This window comes from Homo sapiens, chromosome 15 (genome assembly GCF_000001405.40).
Source record: "Homo sapiens chromosome 15, GRCh38.p14 Primary Assembly".
NCBI classification, from domain to species: domain Eukaryota; kingdom Metazoa; phylum Chordata; class Mammalia; order Primates; family Hominidae; genus Homo; species Homo sapiens.
This window is the reverse complement of record NC_000015.10, coordinates 69,330,504-69,347,090: the sequence shown is the minus strand read 5'-3', so window position 1 is coordinate 69,347,090 and position 16,587 is coordinate 69,330,504. Positions and strand designations below refer to the sequence as shown.

General features: G+C 42.5%; 1 protein-coding gene across 18 annotated transcripts in view, besides 2 other annotated features; it reads right to left on the bottom strand.

Moving 5' to 3' along the window:
- The window catches only part of PAQR5 (progestin and adipoQ receptor family member 5), a 108,869-nt gene that overhangs the window by 60,690 nt on the left and 31,592 nt on the right, over window positions 1-16,587 (bottom strand). For 17 of the 18 annotated variants that reach the window (XM_047432749.1, XM_047432748.1, XM_047432746.1 and 14 more), the window contains one exon: window positions 9,590-9,750. The gene's annotated coding sequence lies outside the window, so the exon portion shown is untranslated. Of the gene's footprint in view, window positions 1-7,978; window positions 8,080-9,589; window positions 9,751-16,587 lie in introns of all 18 variants that reach the window. The other variant, XM_047432747.1, reaches the window with a different exon arrangement.
- Window positions 3,833-4,333: an enhancer, noted in NCBI's record as "H3K27ac hESC enhancer chr15:69635097-69635597 (GRCh37/hg19 assembly coordinates)". NCBI's record gives its function as "activates a minimal SCP1, AML or CMV promoter by ChIP-STARR-seq in naive H9 embryonic stem cells {active_cell/tissue: H9 hESC(naive)}" and the evidence as "EXISTENCE:reporter gene assay evidence [ECO:0000049][PMID:30033119]".
- Window positions 4,334-4,834: an enhancer, noted in NCBI's record as "H3K27ac hESC enhancer chr15:69634596-69635096 (GRCh37/hg19 assembly coordinates)". NCBI's record gives its function as "activates a minimal SCP1, AML or CMV promoter by ChIP-STARR-seq in naive H9 embryonic stem cells {active_cell/tissue: H9 hESC(naive)}" and the evidence as "EXISTENCE:reporter gene assay evidence [ECO:0000049][PMID:30033119]".

Genomic DNA, 16,587 nt, shown 5'->3' with positions numbered 1-16,587 from the left:
CAGCACTTTGGGAGGCCGAGGCAGGTGGGTCACCTGAGGTCAGGAGTCTGAGACCGGCCTGGCCAACGTGGTGAAACCTCATCTGTACTAAAAATACACACAAAAAATTAGCCTGGTATGGTGGTGGGTGCCTGTAAACCCAGCTACTCAGGAGGTTGAAGCAGGAGAATTGCTTGAATCCAGGAGGCGGAGTTTGCAGTGAGTGGAGATTGCACCACTGCACTCCAGCCTGGGCGACAGAGACTCTATCTCAAAAAAATAAAAAATAAAAATAAATAAATAAATAAATAAAAATACAAAAATTAGCCAGGTGTGGTGGTGCATGCCTGCAGTCCCAGCTACTCAGGAGGCTGAGGCAGGAGAATTGCTTGAACCTGGGAGGCGGAGGTTGCAGTGAGCCAAGATCATGCTACTGTACTTCAGCTTGGGGAACAGAGTAAAATTGTGTACTCAAAAAAAAAAAAAAAAATTGCAGCTGGACGTGGTAGCTCACGCTTATAATACATTAAAGGTGATAAAAGGTGGCACTTTGCAAGGCCAAGGTGAGAGGATCACTTGAGCCCAAAAGTTTAAGACCAGCCTGGGCAACATAGTGATACCTCCTCCCTACAAAAAATATTAACTGGGCACGGTGGCATGTGCCTGTGGTCCCAGCTACTTGGGAGGCTAAGGCGGGAGAATGGCTCGGGCCCAGGAGGTGGAGGCTGCAGTGAGCTATTATTGTATCACTGCATTCCAGACTGAGTGAAAGAGTGAGACCCTGTCGCAAAAAAAAAAAAAAAAAAAAAAAAAATTACAAAATATCCATGGCCAATCACAGGAAGTCATCATGTGTGGTCACTGATTCCTATGTGTTTAATCATTTCAGTTATGATTGAGCATAAAATGAACTCACTGGTCTTTTTAGCTTCTTTCCGTCATAATCCAAGACCTTAATTTCACCAACACTATAAAATCCAGATTGTAATTTCTAGTATTTCAAACAGCAGCTTGGCTGGTTATCTCTTTCTGCAGAGGTCTAGAAACATCTTGAATGAAACAAAAGGGCCTCTAAGAATTCTGAAGTCAAAACATAACTGTAAAGCTCTGCCAATGTTTTAACAGTGTATTTGTGTTCCATATAAGATTTCATTTGTTTTATTTTGTTTTTAAAGAAAGGGTCTATGTTGCCCAGGCTTCAGTGCAGTGGCTATTCACAGGTGTGATCACAGCACACTGCAGCCTTGAACTCCTGGCATCAAGCAACCTTCTCGCCTCAGCTTCCCAAGTACCTGGGACTACAGGCACCCCTGACTATGCAAGATTTCTTTTTTTACCTAGGATACAGATCCTGAATGTAAGATTTCATTTAAAAGAGAGTTCCAAAGCTTTAAAATAAGTTTTAAATAGCTTCAAAAAAATCAAAACAAAAAGAGAGTGTGTGTTTAATGCACTCTCCAGGACATGCTGAGTTCCCCTGAAATAGCCTTAAAAAAGAAAACAAAACAGGCAAATCAACAGCAAAATCACCCTCAGGAGGTTTCAGGCTAAAACCTTTCCATTTGAGACCAAGCAAAATTACTAAGAGGTGAAATTTGCACTTGGCTATCTCATTCCTCTCAGGCTAGGGGTCCATCCATAAAGATCCCCCAACACAGAACTTTGGCCTACACTCTGTGGATACTAGGCCTTGAAGGACACAGTTGGCAAAACTCATAACCTATTGAATATGTTTACATAAAAGGTGGCCAAATTATAAGCCTATGGACTATTTTCCCAATGAGAGAGTCCAAAAACTTAATAACTTCCAGTAATGCAAATAAACTAATAAACAGTCTCTTCACAGCATTAATTCACTAATGTAGTTAGGCATACATATTCAGAACCCCTAAATATATTCAATATATTAATTTTAAAATAGCTTTTCCACTGTTCCTTCTCTTTCTTTCTTTCTTTCCTTTCTTCTTTCTTTCTTTCCTTTCTTCTTTCTCTTTTCTTTTTTCTTTTTCTTTTCTTTCACGACAGGGTCTCACTCTGTCACCCAGGCTGGAGTACAGTGGTGTGATCTCAGCTCACTGCAACCTCCGCCTCTCAGGTTCAAGAGATTCTCCCACCTCAGCCTCCCAAGTAGCTAGTACTATAGCACAGCACCATGTCCAGCTAATTTTTGTATTTTTTGGTAGAAACAAGGTTTCACCATGTTGACCAGACTGGTCTCTAACTCCTGAGCTCAAGTGATCCACCTGCCTCGACCTTCCAAAATGCAGGGATTACAGGCATGAGCCATGGTGCCCAGCCTCCACTCATATTTCATAGAAATAAGTGTATTCAAAATCAGCAAGAGCATCTTCACAACTACAGCCACTCTTCTGAGTCACCTCACACAGTTTACTTGAAAAATACTCTTACCGCCAACAAAGTTGTTTGAAATCTATACTTTTTAAAGCTGCATTTAATGCTAATTGCTGAAAAATGTGTCCCAAGTCACAAGTACTCATTTGCTATTATTATGCTGTTTGCAATTTGCTTTCAAATACTTCACATAGATAACATGATATGAAAATGTTAGTTTTAATCCATACCCCTGGTGGGGGTGGTTAGTTAGCATTTGAAAGACAAATCATAAACTCACACACACATTCCGGAGAGTACAGCTTTGATTCAGTTGAGGTTATTTTTAATCAACACCAGGGGGCTTGCTAATTAGCAGAGTGAATGCTGTTTCTTTGGAGAAATGAGTGGAATTAGAGATATGCGAATTAGTGAGAAGGTTTCCTCTCTCTGGCATGACAGCTATGGTATACCCCAAAGAGGCCACTCCTCTGAATGAGCCCAGATAAACACTTTAGGGAAGAGTCAATGGTTTGAATACAACTAGAAGTTCAGCTGAAGCATGCCACAAGACAGCCGTCACATCAGCCATGCATGAACTTTCAAGCAAGGTGTGCCTAAGAGTTCCTAAAAGAGTAGCTTGCTGTAGCCGGGCATGGTGGCCCATGCCTGTAATCTCAGCAATTTGGGAGGCCAAGGCAGGTGGATTGCTTGAGTCCGGGAGTTCAAAACCAGCCTGGGCAACTTGGTGAAACCCCATCTCTACCAAAAATACAAAAATAAGCCAGGCATGGTGGCATGTGCCTGTGGTCCCAGCCACTCAGGAGGAAGAGCAGCTTGCTGGGGTTTGCTAGGTCATTATACTGTTTATCTGTCTGCTTGCTCAGCCTGAATCTTCCACTGTGCTGTGCCACCTGGTGCTGAGATTGTGGGGTTCCTTCTAGTTCTCAGGTACCTGCAGATATTGAATGAACCTAGGATTGTATTTCAATCAACTTCAGACACTATCTATCAGCTGGAAGTCATGCCGCTATTTTTGCCTACTACTAACACACACACCCACAAATGCTGCCAATTTTATCAGGAGGCACCACTGATGGGAAATGAATCCTGATTTCAGAGCTGTTAAAATGTCACAAAAAAAGTGCGTGTTGAAATTGATTGATGAAAGACAGTTATTGTGAATAAGCAATTGGCTTAAGTTCATCTGCAATGATTACTTTCTCCAAACTCACTACTCTGCTCTTTAAAGGGATCTTTAAAGGCTCTTTTACCACAAAACCAGGACTTGCAAGTGGAAGACCATATTCCTGGGAATAAATCTCAATCTGTGTTACATTTTTTTTGCCTCTATTTCTTTCCCTCTCTCTTGATTGTGTCAGGTGCCTTCTGAAAGGATCCCAAATAAGTATTCACTGGGAAAGTCCAGGGTTACCTGGCGTTCCCCCAGACAGCCTATTATCCTAATAAAGGAACACAGTGACCCTGAATATGAAAAGCTCTGGATACACCCAGCTGTGATGCCACTTCTTTGTTCCTGAAAAATATATTGGAAAACAAAATACTCAACTCATAGTCGGGTAATGCAAAACAAAGGCAAAGAACACTGTTTGGTAGGAAATTTCTCCATGCTTGCTTTAAAATGGAAACATGAGACTGGGAAGCTTCTGAGAAGCCATCCAGTCTAAATCACCACCGGATGTCTGGATTTTGTTAAAGGCATTTCAGACAAGTGGTCATACATTTGACCCAAAGAAGCAAGGTTAACATAGGGGTTTCAGGTTCTGTGAGAAGGAAGCAAGGAGATGTCAGGACAGGGAAGCCAGCATCACCTTTCTGCTTATCTCAGAGTGGTCTGAATGCCTCCTGCATGTGGTAGGAGGAGCTGGCTTCTTTAGCCAGTGCTGCAAGGTGCAGGGTCTGAGCGTGGCTGGAGAAGAACAGAGAGTGAGAGGTGAAGGGGAGGTCCTGAGTTTAGGCAGGCTCTGGGTGGCTGAGCCACACTTCTGATCCTCTCCCTCCCCTGGGGCTCCTGTCTAATCTCCTTCATGTGAACAGAAAACAGCACAGAGCCCAGGAGGTGAATGAGGCCAAGTCTTGATCCCATCACTGTGCCAGAAGGCCCCAGCAGTCCTCACCACCTCCAAGGACTGAATAGCACCCTGGGGGACGATGGAGGGAGGCAGAGCCTAGGAGCAGGGGCCCCAGCTGCTTTCAGACCACGTTTTACCTTAAAACATGTGATCAAAATTAAAAACCTGTATGCATCAAAGGACACTATCAAGAGAGTGAAAGACAGCCCACAGAATGGGAGATTTGCAAATCAGATGTCTATAAGAGACTAATATCCAGAATATATAAAGAATTCCCAGAACTTGACAAAAAAATTCCAAACAAGCCAATTCAAAAATGGGCAAATGGCTTGAATAGATATTTTTCCCCAAATATACAAACAACCAATATAAAAGAAATAATAATAATAATAATAATAATAATAATAATAATAATAATAAAAGAACAAACAACCAATAGGCACATGGAAAGATTCTCAGCACCACTAGTCATTAGGGAAGCACAGTTCAAAACCATAATGGGATACCGCTTCATAGCCATTAGGATGGCTGCTATCAAAAAACAAAACAAAAAACACAGAAGGTAAGTATTGGCAAGGGTGTGGAGAAATAGAAACTAATGCATTTCTGGTGGGACTGTAAAGTGGTGCAATAGCTATGGAAAACAGTATGACAGTTTCTCAAAAAGTTAAACAGAATTACCATATAATCCAGCAATTTCACTTCTATCTATATACCCAAAAGAAGTGAAAGGGGCTGAAACAGTTTTTTTTTTTTTTTTGAGACAGGGTCTCACTCTGTTGTCCAGGCTGGAGTGCCTCACTGCAGACTTGACCTCCTGGGATTAAGTGATCCTCCCACCTCAGCCTCCTAAGTATCTGGGACCACAGACACATGCCACCACACCATCTAATTTTTGTATTTTTTGTAGAGATGAGTCCTCCCTATATTGTCCAGGCTGGTCTCAAACTCCTGAGCTCAAGTGATCCACCCACCTTGGCCTCCCGAAGTACTGGGATTACAGGTGCGACGGCCTGAAGCAGGTATTTCTAAACCAATTTTCATAGCAGCATTACTCACAATGACCAAAAGGTGAAAGCCCAAATGCTCTTCAGCAGATGAATGGATAAACAAAATGTGGTATATCTATACTACAGGATATTACTCAGCCTTAAGAAAGAATAAAAGGCCCAATGTGATGGTTCATGCCTGTAATCTCAGCTACTCTGGAGGCTGAGGTGGGGGGACTACTTGAGCTCAGGAGAACAAGGCCACAGTGAGCTGTGATCACACCACTGCACTCCAGCCTGGGCAACAGAGCAAGACCCTATTTTTTAAAAAAAAAAAAAAAAAAAGGAATAGAATTCTAATACATGTTTTAACATGGGTGAGGCTTGAAAACATTAAGTCAAATAAGCCAGACACAAAGGGACAAATATTGTATGATTCCATTGAGATGACATGCCTGGAATAGGCAAATTTTAGAGACATTTACGTAAAGACAGTCTGGCAGGGGGGCCGGGGGCGGGTAGAGGGGATGGGGAATTAGTGTTTAAGGGATACGTAGTTTCTATTTGGGAAGATGAAGAAGTCGTGGAGATGGATGGTGGTCATAGGTGCACAGCAATGTGAATGTACTCAATACCAACGAATTACACATTTTTAAGTGCTTAGCATGATAAATTTTATGTTACGTATATTTTACCACAATAAAAAAGTATCATTAAAAAGCACGTGCTTTTTGTAGTCTGCTCCATAATTTATAGTTGTTTTAATACAAAAATTTATTTTCTCCAAATCTTCCAGAAAAAAAATACATATTATACACATCCTGTTGCTGCAAACTGCCTCCCCCACTATTGTGAGAAGCGCAGACTAGTTCAATCCACCCTTCTTCCTATTTTATATCTGAGAACCTCAGATAGGAAATGACTTGCTTGAGGTCACTCAGTGAGGGCCTGGCAAAGTCAAAAATAAGGAAGGTCTCTAACGAACAGTGGGAACATGTGCATGGGTCCTAGAGTTGGAAGGACCAGAAGCTCACCCCGCCATGCCAATGCCTGAATCCACCATGGGAAGAAAACGGCCAACTCACAGGGCAGGGAGCTGGGGGAAAGCTGAGGTCACTCATCAGCTGAATGACACGTGCCTGAACTTCAGCCTCCTTGCAGCATGGGTCAAATGCCCACCTCAGCAAGATTATAAACAACTCCCAAGTAGTTTGCCATTCATTAAAGCCATGATTATGTCTGCTCACACAGTGCTTTCCAAACTGCAGGTCACAACCTCTCAATGGATCGTGAAATCTATTTAGTGAGTCATGATTAACATTTAAAGATAGAATCGTATGGAAAAGAATAGACAGAAAATATCAGTGTATTGCAGAGTAAAGGTAAGTACTGTTTTATGATGTTTGTTACATATGTTTATAGATATTGCTTGCTATGTTATGTATGACTGTATGTGTATACTAGATTATGACAAAAGGTATTGCTTACTAAAAGCCATAAACAAAAAAGCTTGAAAAAAAGGTGTTAATGTGAGGCCGGGCACGGTGGCTCATGCCTGTAATCCCAGCACTTTGGGAGTCCAAGGCGGGCAGATCACCTGAGGTCGGAAGTTTGAGACCAGCCTGACCAACATGGAGAAACCCCATCTCTACCACAAATACAAAATTAGCCGGGCGTGGTGGCACATGCCTGTAATCCCAGCTACTCAGGAGGCTGAGGTAGAAGAATCGCTTGAACCCGGGAGGCAGAGGTTGCGGTGAGCCAAGATTGTGCCATTGCACTCCAGCCTGGGCAACAAGAGCAAAACTCCGTCCCCCAAAAAAAAGGTGTTAATGTCACAGGTCACCTGTATTGATTACGAAGAGCCATGGATTTTTTTCCACCTAGAGTCACACATGCTCTGGTACATTCTAAAGATTGTGGAGGGGCCGGGCTCAATGGCTCATGCCTGTAATCCCAGCACTTTGGGAGGCCCAGGTGAGTGGATCACTTGAGGTCAGGAGTTCAAGATCAGCCTGGACAACATGGTGAAACCCTGTCTGTAATAAAAAATACAAAAATTGCCAGGCATGGTGGTGTGCACCTGTGGTCCCAGTTACTTGGGAAGCTGAGGCATGAGAATTGCTTGAACCTGGGAGGCAGAGGCTGCAGTGAGCTGAGATTGCACCACTGTACTCCAGCCTGGGTGACAGAACAAGACTCTGTCTCAAAAACAAAAACGAAACCAAAAAGACCCAGAAACAACAACAACAACAAAAAGATTGTTGTGGGGGGACTAAGGCCGCCAGGTACCCAGACGGATGCATGTCTGGACAAGAAGCCCCTCCTAATGTAACTGCCCAAGGGGTTCACCTTGTCCACGCCTAGACAGAGCCAATTCGTCAAGACAGGGGAATTGTAACAGAGAAAGAGTAATTCACACAGAGCCAACTGTGCAGGAGACCGGAGTTTTATTATTACTCAAATCAGTCTCCCTGAGCATTTGAGGAGCAGAGTTTTTAAGGATAACTTGGTGGCGGGGTGGGGGGTGTAGCCAGTGGGCCAGGAGTGGTGACTGGTCAGGGATGAAATCATAGGGAGTCGAACCTGTCTTCTTGCGCTGACTCAGTTCCTGGGTGGGGCCCACAAGATCAGAGGAGACAAATTACTGATCTGAGCGGTGCCTGCTGATCCATCAAGTGCAGGGTCTGCAAAATATCCCAAGCACTGATCTCAGGAGCAGTCTAGGGAGGGTCAGAATCTTGAGGCCTCCAACTGCAAGATTCCTAAATCATAATTTCTAATCCTTTGGCTAATGTTAGTCTAGTCCCCAGGCAAGAAGGAGGTCTGCTTTGGGAAAGGGTTGTTACCATTTTTGTTTAAACTATAAACTACAAAGTAAGTTTCTCCCAGAGTTAGATCAGCCTATGCCCAGAAATGAAAAAGACAGCTTGGAGGTTAGAAGCAAGATGGAGTCAGTTAAGTTCGATCTCTTTGATTGTCTCAGTCATAATTTTGCAAAGGCGGTCTCAATCCCTCCCTTTGGATTTTGTAACACCTTAATCTCAAGGTGTAGGCTATGAAGATAGGAGAAGGCTGTCAATCGCTCTGGCTTCTTCCTGCTGACAAGGGACATTGTGGGAATGGGAGTGAACCCCAAGGTGAGAAGAGTGGAACCGCTTTCTAACTGTCTGAGTGTACTCATGCAGGCCTGGCTTGGCTTCCAAGGCTTGTGTGGGAAAAACATTAGTGCTCTCATCTATAGTTTTACTACAGTGTTTAAGTGAACAGCCTACTATAAGGTACATTACGAGTTCTACAATTAGGAGTACAATTCCCAATTTTAAAAGCAAAGATTTGAAAGCATTAGCTTGGGGACTTCTAACCCACAAGGAATTTAGAATTTAGTCTAAACTGCAGGAAAAAACCTCAAGAACAGCTAACAACAGTATACTATAGTTTTCTTTTGGAGCATAATTTTGCCACTAGGCAGTGGACAAGGTGAACCCCTTGGGCAGTTACATTAGGAGGGGCTTCTTGTCCAGACATGCATCCGTCTGGGTACCTGGTAGCCTTAGTCCTCCCACAACAATCTTTTTGTTGTTGTTGTTGTTTCTGGTTTTTTTGTTTGTTTGTTTGTTTTGAGACAGAGTCTTGCTCTGTCACCCAGGCTGGAGTGCAGTGGTGTAATCTCAGCTCGCTGCAGCCTCTGCCTCCTGGGTTCAAGCAATTCTCGTGCCTCAGCTTCCCAAGTAACTGGGACCACAGGTGCACACCACTACACCTGGCTAATTTTTGTATTTTTTTAATAGAGACAGGGTTTCACCATGTTGTCCAGGCTGGTCTTGAACTCCCAACCTCAAGCAATCCACCCACCTGGGCCTCCCAAAGTGCTGGGATTTCAGTCCCCATTTTTTTAAAAGCAAGTCATGATAGAACTGATTTACAGTTTACAAAATGAATTTTAGTCTTACTCTACTTGGCCTGATGATTTGCATAAAGTGCAGCAAGAATAATTATTTTTCACTTAGGCTTTTTAAATTGGCTTTGATAGAACTCTGTTCCATGAAGAATCTCAGATAAAAGTTTTTAAAAGCTGAGCCCAGCCATGGGTTTGTACCCTCAAATACCTATGAGTTGAGCAAAATCCTCTCCTCTTGAGGTCCCAAGATAACCTGGGGTTCCTGGGCCTGTTAGAAAGTGACGTTCTTTACTTACCACAGGTCAGGAACCTTGTACAGGAACTCTGTGTGGACAAGGTATGAGGCCAGATTCCCCAAAGGGCTTTAATTGGCTCTAAAAGTCAACTTTCATCTTTAAAGGAAGCATGCCATTCCAGTCAAATCCTTGGTAAAATGCCCAGTTTCTCCAATGGTGTCCTGTGACAAAAGAAAACAGATTCTTATTGCACTTATGTAATTAACTATACTGCCATAAATTGAGAATACACACAAATGGTTTCCAAATTCTAGAGCAATCAGGTAGAGAGAAACAAATATGCTCCAAAATTTTCCACAGGAGTATATTTTACTCACTTGTTAAAGCTTGCAAATAGCTCTAAAGAAATAAGTAATCTTTACTCTGAAAACAAAAGGATTAGCAATGTTTAACATACCAGCTCTCCACGAGAGTCCTAGAAGTTTCCTTTTTTCCTCTATTCCAATAGTACAATTTTTAAAGTTATCTGAGACCTGCACTCAGAGTCTTGTATCTGATTATAAATTGCCTTTTGAAAAGGACCAAAGCAAGACAAAATGTCTGTGGATGACAAAAGTCTATAGCCACTATTAAAGCTACAATTGACTAGGAATTTTGGTTCTTCCACTTCTGTGGCATACAACAATTTTACATAACAATTATAATTATTAATAATGTACACTAAATCATATCAGAATTATAGAAGTTTCCCATAACTTTTGGAACACATACTAATAACATATTTATACAAATACAGTCCAAAGAAAACCAAACACCATTCTCTCTTTCTTTTGAAAGTTTTCTGTCTATTCTAAAGTCACAATCTCCAGAGTTATTAAGCAGAAATCTGCATTTAAGAGCACCTGTTAAATTTTACAGCTGATTATAAAACCAACTTTTAGGAGGACCAAAATAAGACAACAATCATCTGTGGATGACAAAAACATTATAGGGTAGCCACAGTTAAAGACACGATCGACAAAGAGATTTGTTACCTGTGGCACACAGCCATTTAACATAATTATAATTATTACTGATAACATATACAAAGTCATATTAGAATTTTAGGAGTTTTACATAATTTTGGAACATATGCCAATAATACATTTACACAAATATAGCCCAAAGAAAGCCAAACACCATTTCATACTTGACAATGCTTCCTGTATGATTTTTATGTCAAATAAGCCAAATGTCATTTTTGGACTTTAGAGGACCTGATATCTAAAATATTAGGTTAGAAAGAGATATAATTTATAATTTGATTTTGGAAAGTTTGTCAAATATCAAAGGTTTAAAACACTGGATATCACAAAATAGAATCCCAGGTCACCATAAGTCATTCACTTAGCCAAAATGATAACTCCAAAAAATTTTTTTAAAAAAGAAAGCCTTTACTCTGATAGAGGAGACTTAGCTTTCCAAACAAGACTCAATGAAGATAGCATGAAGCCACCTGAATCTGTCTCCTTTCTCTCTCTCCTCCTTTTTTTTCCTGCCACTTACCCAAAGGAGAAAACAAAACCACTTTCATTATCTTTTAACATTACATAAAAATCGTCTTCAAAAGAGAAAACCAAATTTCAGGCTTGCATTAGTGCATCTTTAATGTTAAAGCTAGTTTTTTAAATAAAATTTTATATCTCGATCCAGTTGTAATTAGTCTGACCATAAGGTAAGATTTTTATAAACTTTTTAGAACTCTTTACAAATTTCCATCCAACAGCAGATCAGTTTTCTAAGAAAACCCTGTTATTCGGACACACAGACCCAGATTCTGGCCCCACATCAGTATGATTTTAATGCTTTAACCTAAGGGTGGCATGCATCTGTAATCCCAGCTACTCGGGAGGCTGAGGTAAGGAGAATGGCTTGAACCTGGGAGGCAGAGGTTGCAGTGAGCCAAGATCGTGCCACTGCACACCAGCCTGGGCGACAGAGTGAGACTCTGTCTCAAAAAAAAAAAAAAAAAAAAAAAAACTGGATGCGGTGGCTCACACCTGTAATCCTAGCACTTTGGGAGGCCGAGGCGGGCAGATCACCTGAGGTGGGGAGTTCGAGACCAGCCTGACCAACATGGAGAAACCCCTTCTCTACTACAAATAAAAAATTAGCCAGGTGTGGTGGTTCATGCCTGTAATCCCAGCTACTTGGGCAGCTGAGGCAGGAGAATCACTTGAACCCAGGAGGCAGAGGTTGTGGTGAGCCGAGATCATGCCATTGCACTCCAGCCTGGGCAACAAGAGCAAAACTCCATTTCAAAAAAAAAAAAAAAAGCTAAAATTTCTTTTAAATCTTTTTTTTTTTGAGACATGGTCTCACTCTGTTGCCCATGCTTGAGCACAATCTTGACTCACTACAACCTCCACCTCCTGGGTTCAAACGATTCTCCTGCCTCAGCCTTCTGAGTAGCTGGGATTACAGGCACCTGCCACAGGCCCGGCTAATTTTTGTATTTTTTCAGTAGAGTTGGGGTTTCACCATGTTGGCCAGGCTGGTCTTGAATTCCTGACCTCAAGGGATCCCCACTCCTCAGCCTCCCAAAATGCTGGGATTACAGGCGTGAGCCACCGCGCCCAGCCAATTTCTTTTAAATCTTAGCCAACTTGTTTATACCCACAGAATTTGTTACAAGATCAACCCTTTACAAACCCCTTTCCCTTTGCTTAAACCTTCAGTTTTGTTCCATTACTCTTTTGGGTTAAGACAATCTTTAAAACCCTCTGAAGTAGACAAAATTACATTCCCTTTAACAAAAGCCATATTCCCATGCCTTCTGATCATCTTTTACCAAAAACACATTCCCTACACACCTAGTATGTAAAACGCATTCTCCAGTGGTCTCAACTACATATTACAATGTTAAATCTTAGCAACTTTTATTTTTAGTGAAAAACCTGGTAAGTAAGCGATTTTAATTATGTACTGGGGTGGAGCCTAGGACATCAATCAGAAATGAAGATAAGGTCTGACTCTTAGCATAGCTGGCGGGCATGGCTCTCCACATGTCCCCAGGCCTTACCTATCATCTAATGCTCCAAAGTAGGGAAATTGAACAATTCTCAAAAGTCAAAGAAACAGTTTGACCTTAAAGCATTTAGCAAATCTGATACCTGACCTTATTTTAGACCAAATGTCTACATTTTCAAGACATTTTATTTTACCAATAATCTTTAAAACTGTCTTTATTTCCCAGGTCGGGTGCAGTGGCTCATGCCTGTTATCCCAGCACTTTGGAAGGCCGAGGTGGGTGGATCACGAGGTCAAGAGCTCGAGACCATCCTGGCTAACATGGTGAAACCCCATCTCTACTAAAAATACAAAAAAATTAGCCCGGCGTGGTGGCGGGCGCCTGTAGCCCCAGCAACTTGGGAGGCTGAGGCAGGAGAATCACTTGAACCCGGGAGGTGGAGGTTGCAGTGAGCCAAGACTGCGCCACTGCCTCCAGTCTGGTGAGAGAGTGAGACTCCATCTCAAAGAAAAAACAAAAAAACCGTCTTTATTTCCAAAAGACTACTAAAGTCATGTGAACAAAAAGGTATTACGGTTTCTATTTTTCTGATAAAATATTTGATTTAAATGCTTATATTTCTAAGCCAATTAACCAGAGCTCTTTTATACAAACATCTCACACACACACACACACAACACATATGAATACAGACAGACAGAAGATTCAGCACTTGTAAAATTTTTCATTTGCCAGTTTCTTAATTGGGTGACTGGCTTTAGGGTGGAGCCCTTGGAGGAGCAGGGCCGGGAAAGCATGCATTTCTAGAGCCAAATAAGCAGCAAATAAGCAGCTGAAGGCAAAGACAGATCCCCAAAATTAAGGGTGCCATTTTATACTGGATCCTGGATCCCCAACAGGAGGGAAATACTGTGGGAGAAGACCGTGCAATGCTTCTACCCTGCATTCCATTCAAGGCAACCCAAAGCCAATCAGCCCATTTTGTAATCGGCCCATCTCTCACAGGAGTCTCATCTCCCAGTGCGGGGTGGGGACGCCTCCTTATCTTCCAGGTGGCCGAGAGCATGCGTCTCTGATCCAAGTGTGCAGAGTCAAGTATCCCTCCACAACTACTATTAGCCACTCCCTAAAGTATATTTCCTACCTAGTTATTACACACCAAAGCTCTCTCATAATAAGTAATTTCTGATACCCCTAAAAATCAAAACTGTCAGATAACACAGTGAAAAACAGAACAGAGCCTTTGATTCTGAGAGGGATCTATCCGCTTTTAATTCCTGGGGTTTCATGAGGAAAACAGAGCCTTTTTTCCAAAACGGGGTTCGTGGTGCCTCCTCTGTTTTTCCCAAGGAGTCCCAGGCTACCAGAAGTTATCTTAGGGCCTCTCATGTGTGTATTAAGATTGGCAAGATAAAAAAAAATGGAAAAAAATAATTCAGTCAACTGAGAAGAAAAAACCTTTTCCCAGGAAAAAAACAAGTCCCAAAAAGAGGAAAACATAAAGGCCTTTTAAATATACCTATTGCTTGTTTATCCACTTTTAATTAAGCTGACTTTTAACCATAGCGCTCTTTAAAAAATATCCTTTTAAATTTTTTATTACCCGACTTTAACACTAAGCGACCAGTATTTTTGGCTTTTAAATTCTACCACAGTTAACTTCCCACATGAAATTAATAAGTTTTAGCTAAGGTTATAACTTAACCATGGACACATTCATGTCTCAAGGAGAAGGTAAGCCGTTTCTTTTTTTTTTTTTTTTTTTTTTTTTTACAAGATTTAGAATCTCCCCCAGGGTAGTTTAGAGAAAGGAAAACTCAAGACAGGAAATCAGAAGCTATCCATGGGTTGGCCGGGGTGGGGGTGGGGTGGGGAACCTCAATAAATGGCAAAGTTTCATAAATAAAACTCAGAAAGGAATCATTCCAGAAGCCAAGACTAAAACTCAGGCTGCCATTGTCAAAAAGCAAAGCCTCAGCTACTGAGTTACAGCATTGAGCAGTTTCTATTCCTCTCCCCAGAAGGAGCCTAGAGAAGCCAATTTCAAGCTTGCACAGGCTTTTAACTGCTCAAGAAAAAATTTTTAGGACTATGACATGAACCCCAAAATTCCTGTCCTCTGGATGGCAGAAACCAAGAGAAAGTATCCCCACATGGTCAAAAGGTTAAGCTCTTAAGGACACAAAGCAAGACAGAGAAATTTCATCCAGTATTGGTTTCAGGAACCTGTAGCAAGGTTTGTAACTGACCAGCCTGCCAAGCTGGCTTGAAAAGCGGGCTTATAGGGGTCCTAAACCCACATTCTATCCTGTGATACCCCTCTCTCCATTACAGAACAAAGAAAAACAAATTCTTAGCACAAAGTACAGCAGATTTGCTACCGCCTAAGACTAGTCTCACAAATCCTTTTTTCTATTAATCAAACCCTTGCAGAGGAGACCAATAGTTTACTGTTTTACCCAGACAGAGAAAGAGAGACCAGAATCTTCGCTGGTAAGAATTTCTCACCCTTTTTGCTGGCATACCCGGTTTCTGGGTTCTCTTTCTCTGCAGCTTCCAGAAGAAAGAGTGGCTTCTCATGACCCTGCTCGCTTGTGCTATAGCTGTGAGGTTCAAGCCACTTACAAGAGAAAAAATAAACCACTTTACTGTTTTATGGAACCATAGGCAAGATTCTCAATTTGCAAGATGCTAACCAACAGGTTGCATGGGGAACCAAATTAACATTTTCCATCCCAGCAAAATATACACAACAGAACAGACATTAGTCACCTCATTCAGCACCCAATATAAGTCTGGTAAAGCTCAAACTTTTTCCCGTTGCTCCCTGTTTCTGATCCACTCCAGGTGGGGAGGGGAGGGATGACCTCCAAATGGTAATTCACAATGGAGTCTCTGGGCAAGGCGAAGACCAGATAGTCACCCCGAGAGACAGGCCTGTTGAGCTTTCTTTAGGGCTTACCAAATGTAACCAGGCAAATAAGGAGGGATCTCTGAGTTAGACCTGCTGGACTTCCATTAGCAACCTCTCCTGAGATCCCTTCCACATACACAGACACACACAAAGACGAGATAGACAGAAGGCCTTCTAAATCAGATCCCTAACCAAGAACTCCAAGAGTATCCCTTCCAAACTATCCTCCTATTCTCCGTCTGAGAAACTGCCTCGAAATCTTCCAGATTGAGGATAAGTCTCTCAAACCAAGACTCTTCTTACTAGTTAGAAAGAGCCAACTGAGACCCCGCAGGAGCTGAACAGACACCCTGCAATGGGGCTACAGACACAAGACACCCCATGGTGGAGTTACAGACACCACACCATAGGGCTACAGAACCAGTGGCGAGAAGGAAGGAGGCATTGGCAGCACCTAGGTTACTCACCAATCCAGACACCCCACAATGGGGCTACAGACAGACACCCCATCATAGGCTATACAGACACCCTGTGATAGGGCTACAGTTAAGGAACGTCGCCCCAGGACTATTTCTCCATTGCAATTAGATCGATGTACACTGGGTTGGCAGTGCCCCACCAGTACAGAGAGTCCCTGAGTCAGCCCCTAGTCCAAGAGAACTAGGTGGCTGCTTGGGCTGGCTTCTGGATCCATCACTGGAGTGGGGCCACCGAACCATGGGCAGGTAGCCACAAGGGCAATCCTGGATGAGCCACCAAATTTGTAAGTGCCCAAGGGGTTCACCTTGCCTGCTGCCTAGACAAAGCCGATTCATCAAGACAGGGGAATTGCAATAGAGAAAGAGTAATTCACGCAGAGCCTGCTGTGTGGGAGACTGGAGTTTTATCATTACTCAAATAAGTCTCCCCAAGCATTCCTGGAGCAGAGTTTTTAAGGATAACTTGGTTGGTGGTTGGGGGGTGGGTAACCAATGAGCCAGGAGTGCTGGTCAGGGATGAAATCATAGGGAGTCGAAGTTGTCTTCTTGCACTGACTCAGTTCCTGGGAGGGGGCCACAAGATCAGAGGAGCCAGTTCATTGATCTGGGTGGTGCCTGCTGATCCACCGAGTGCAGGGTCTGCAAAATATCCCAA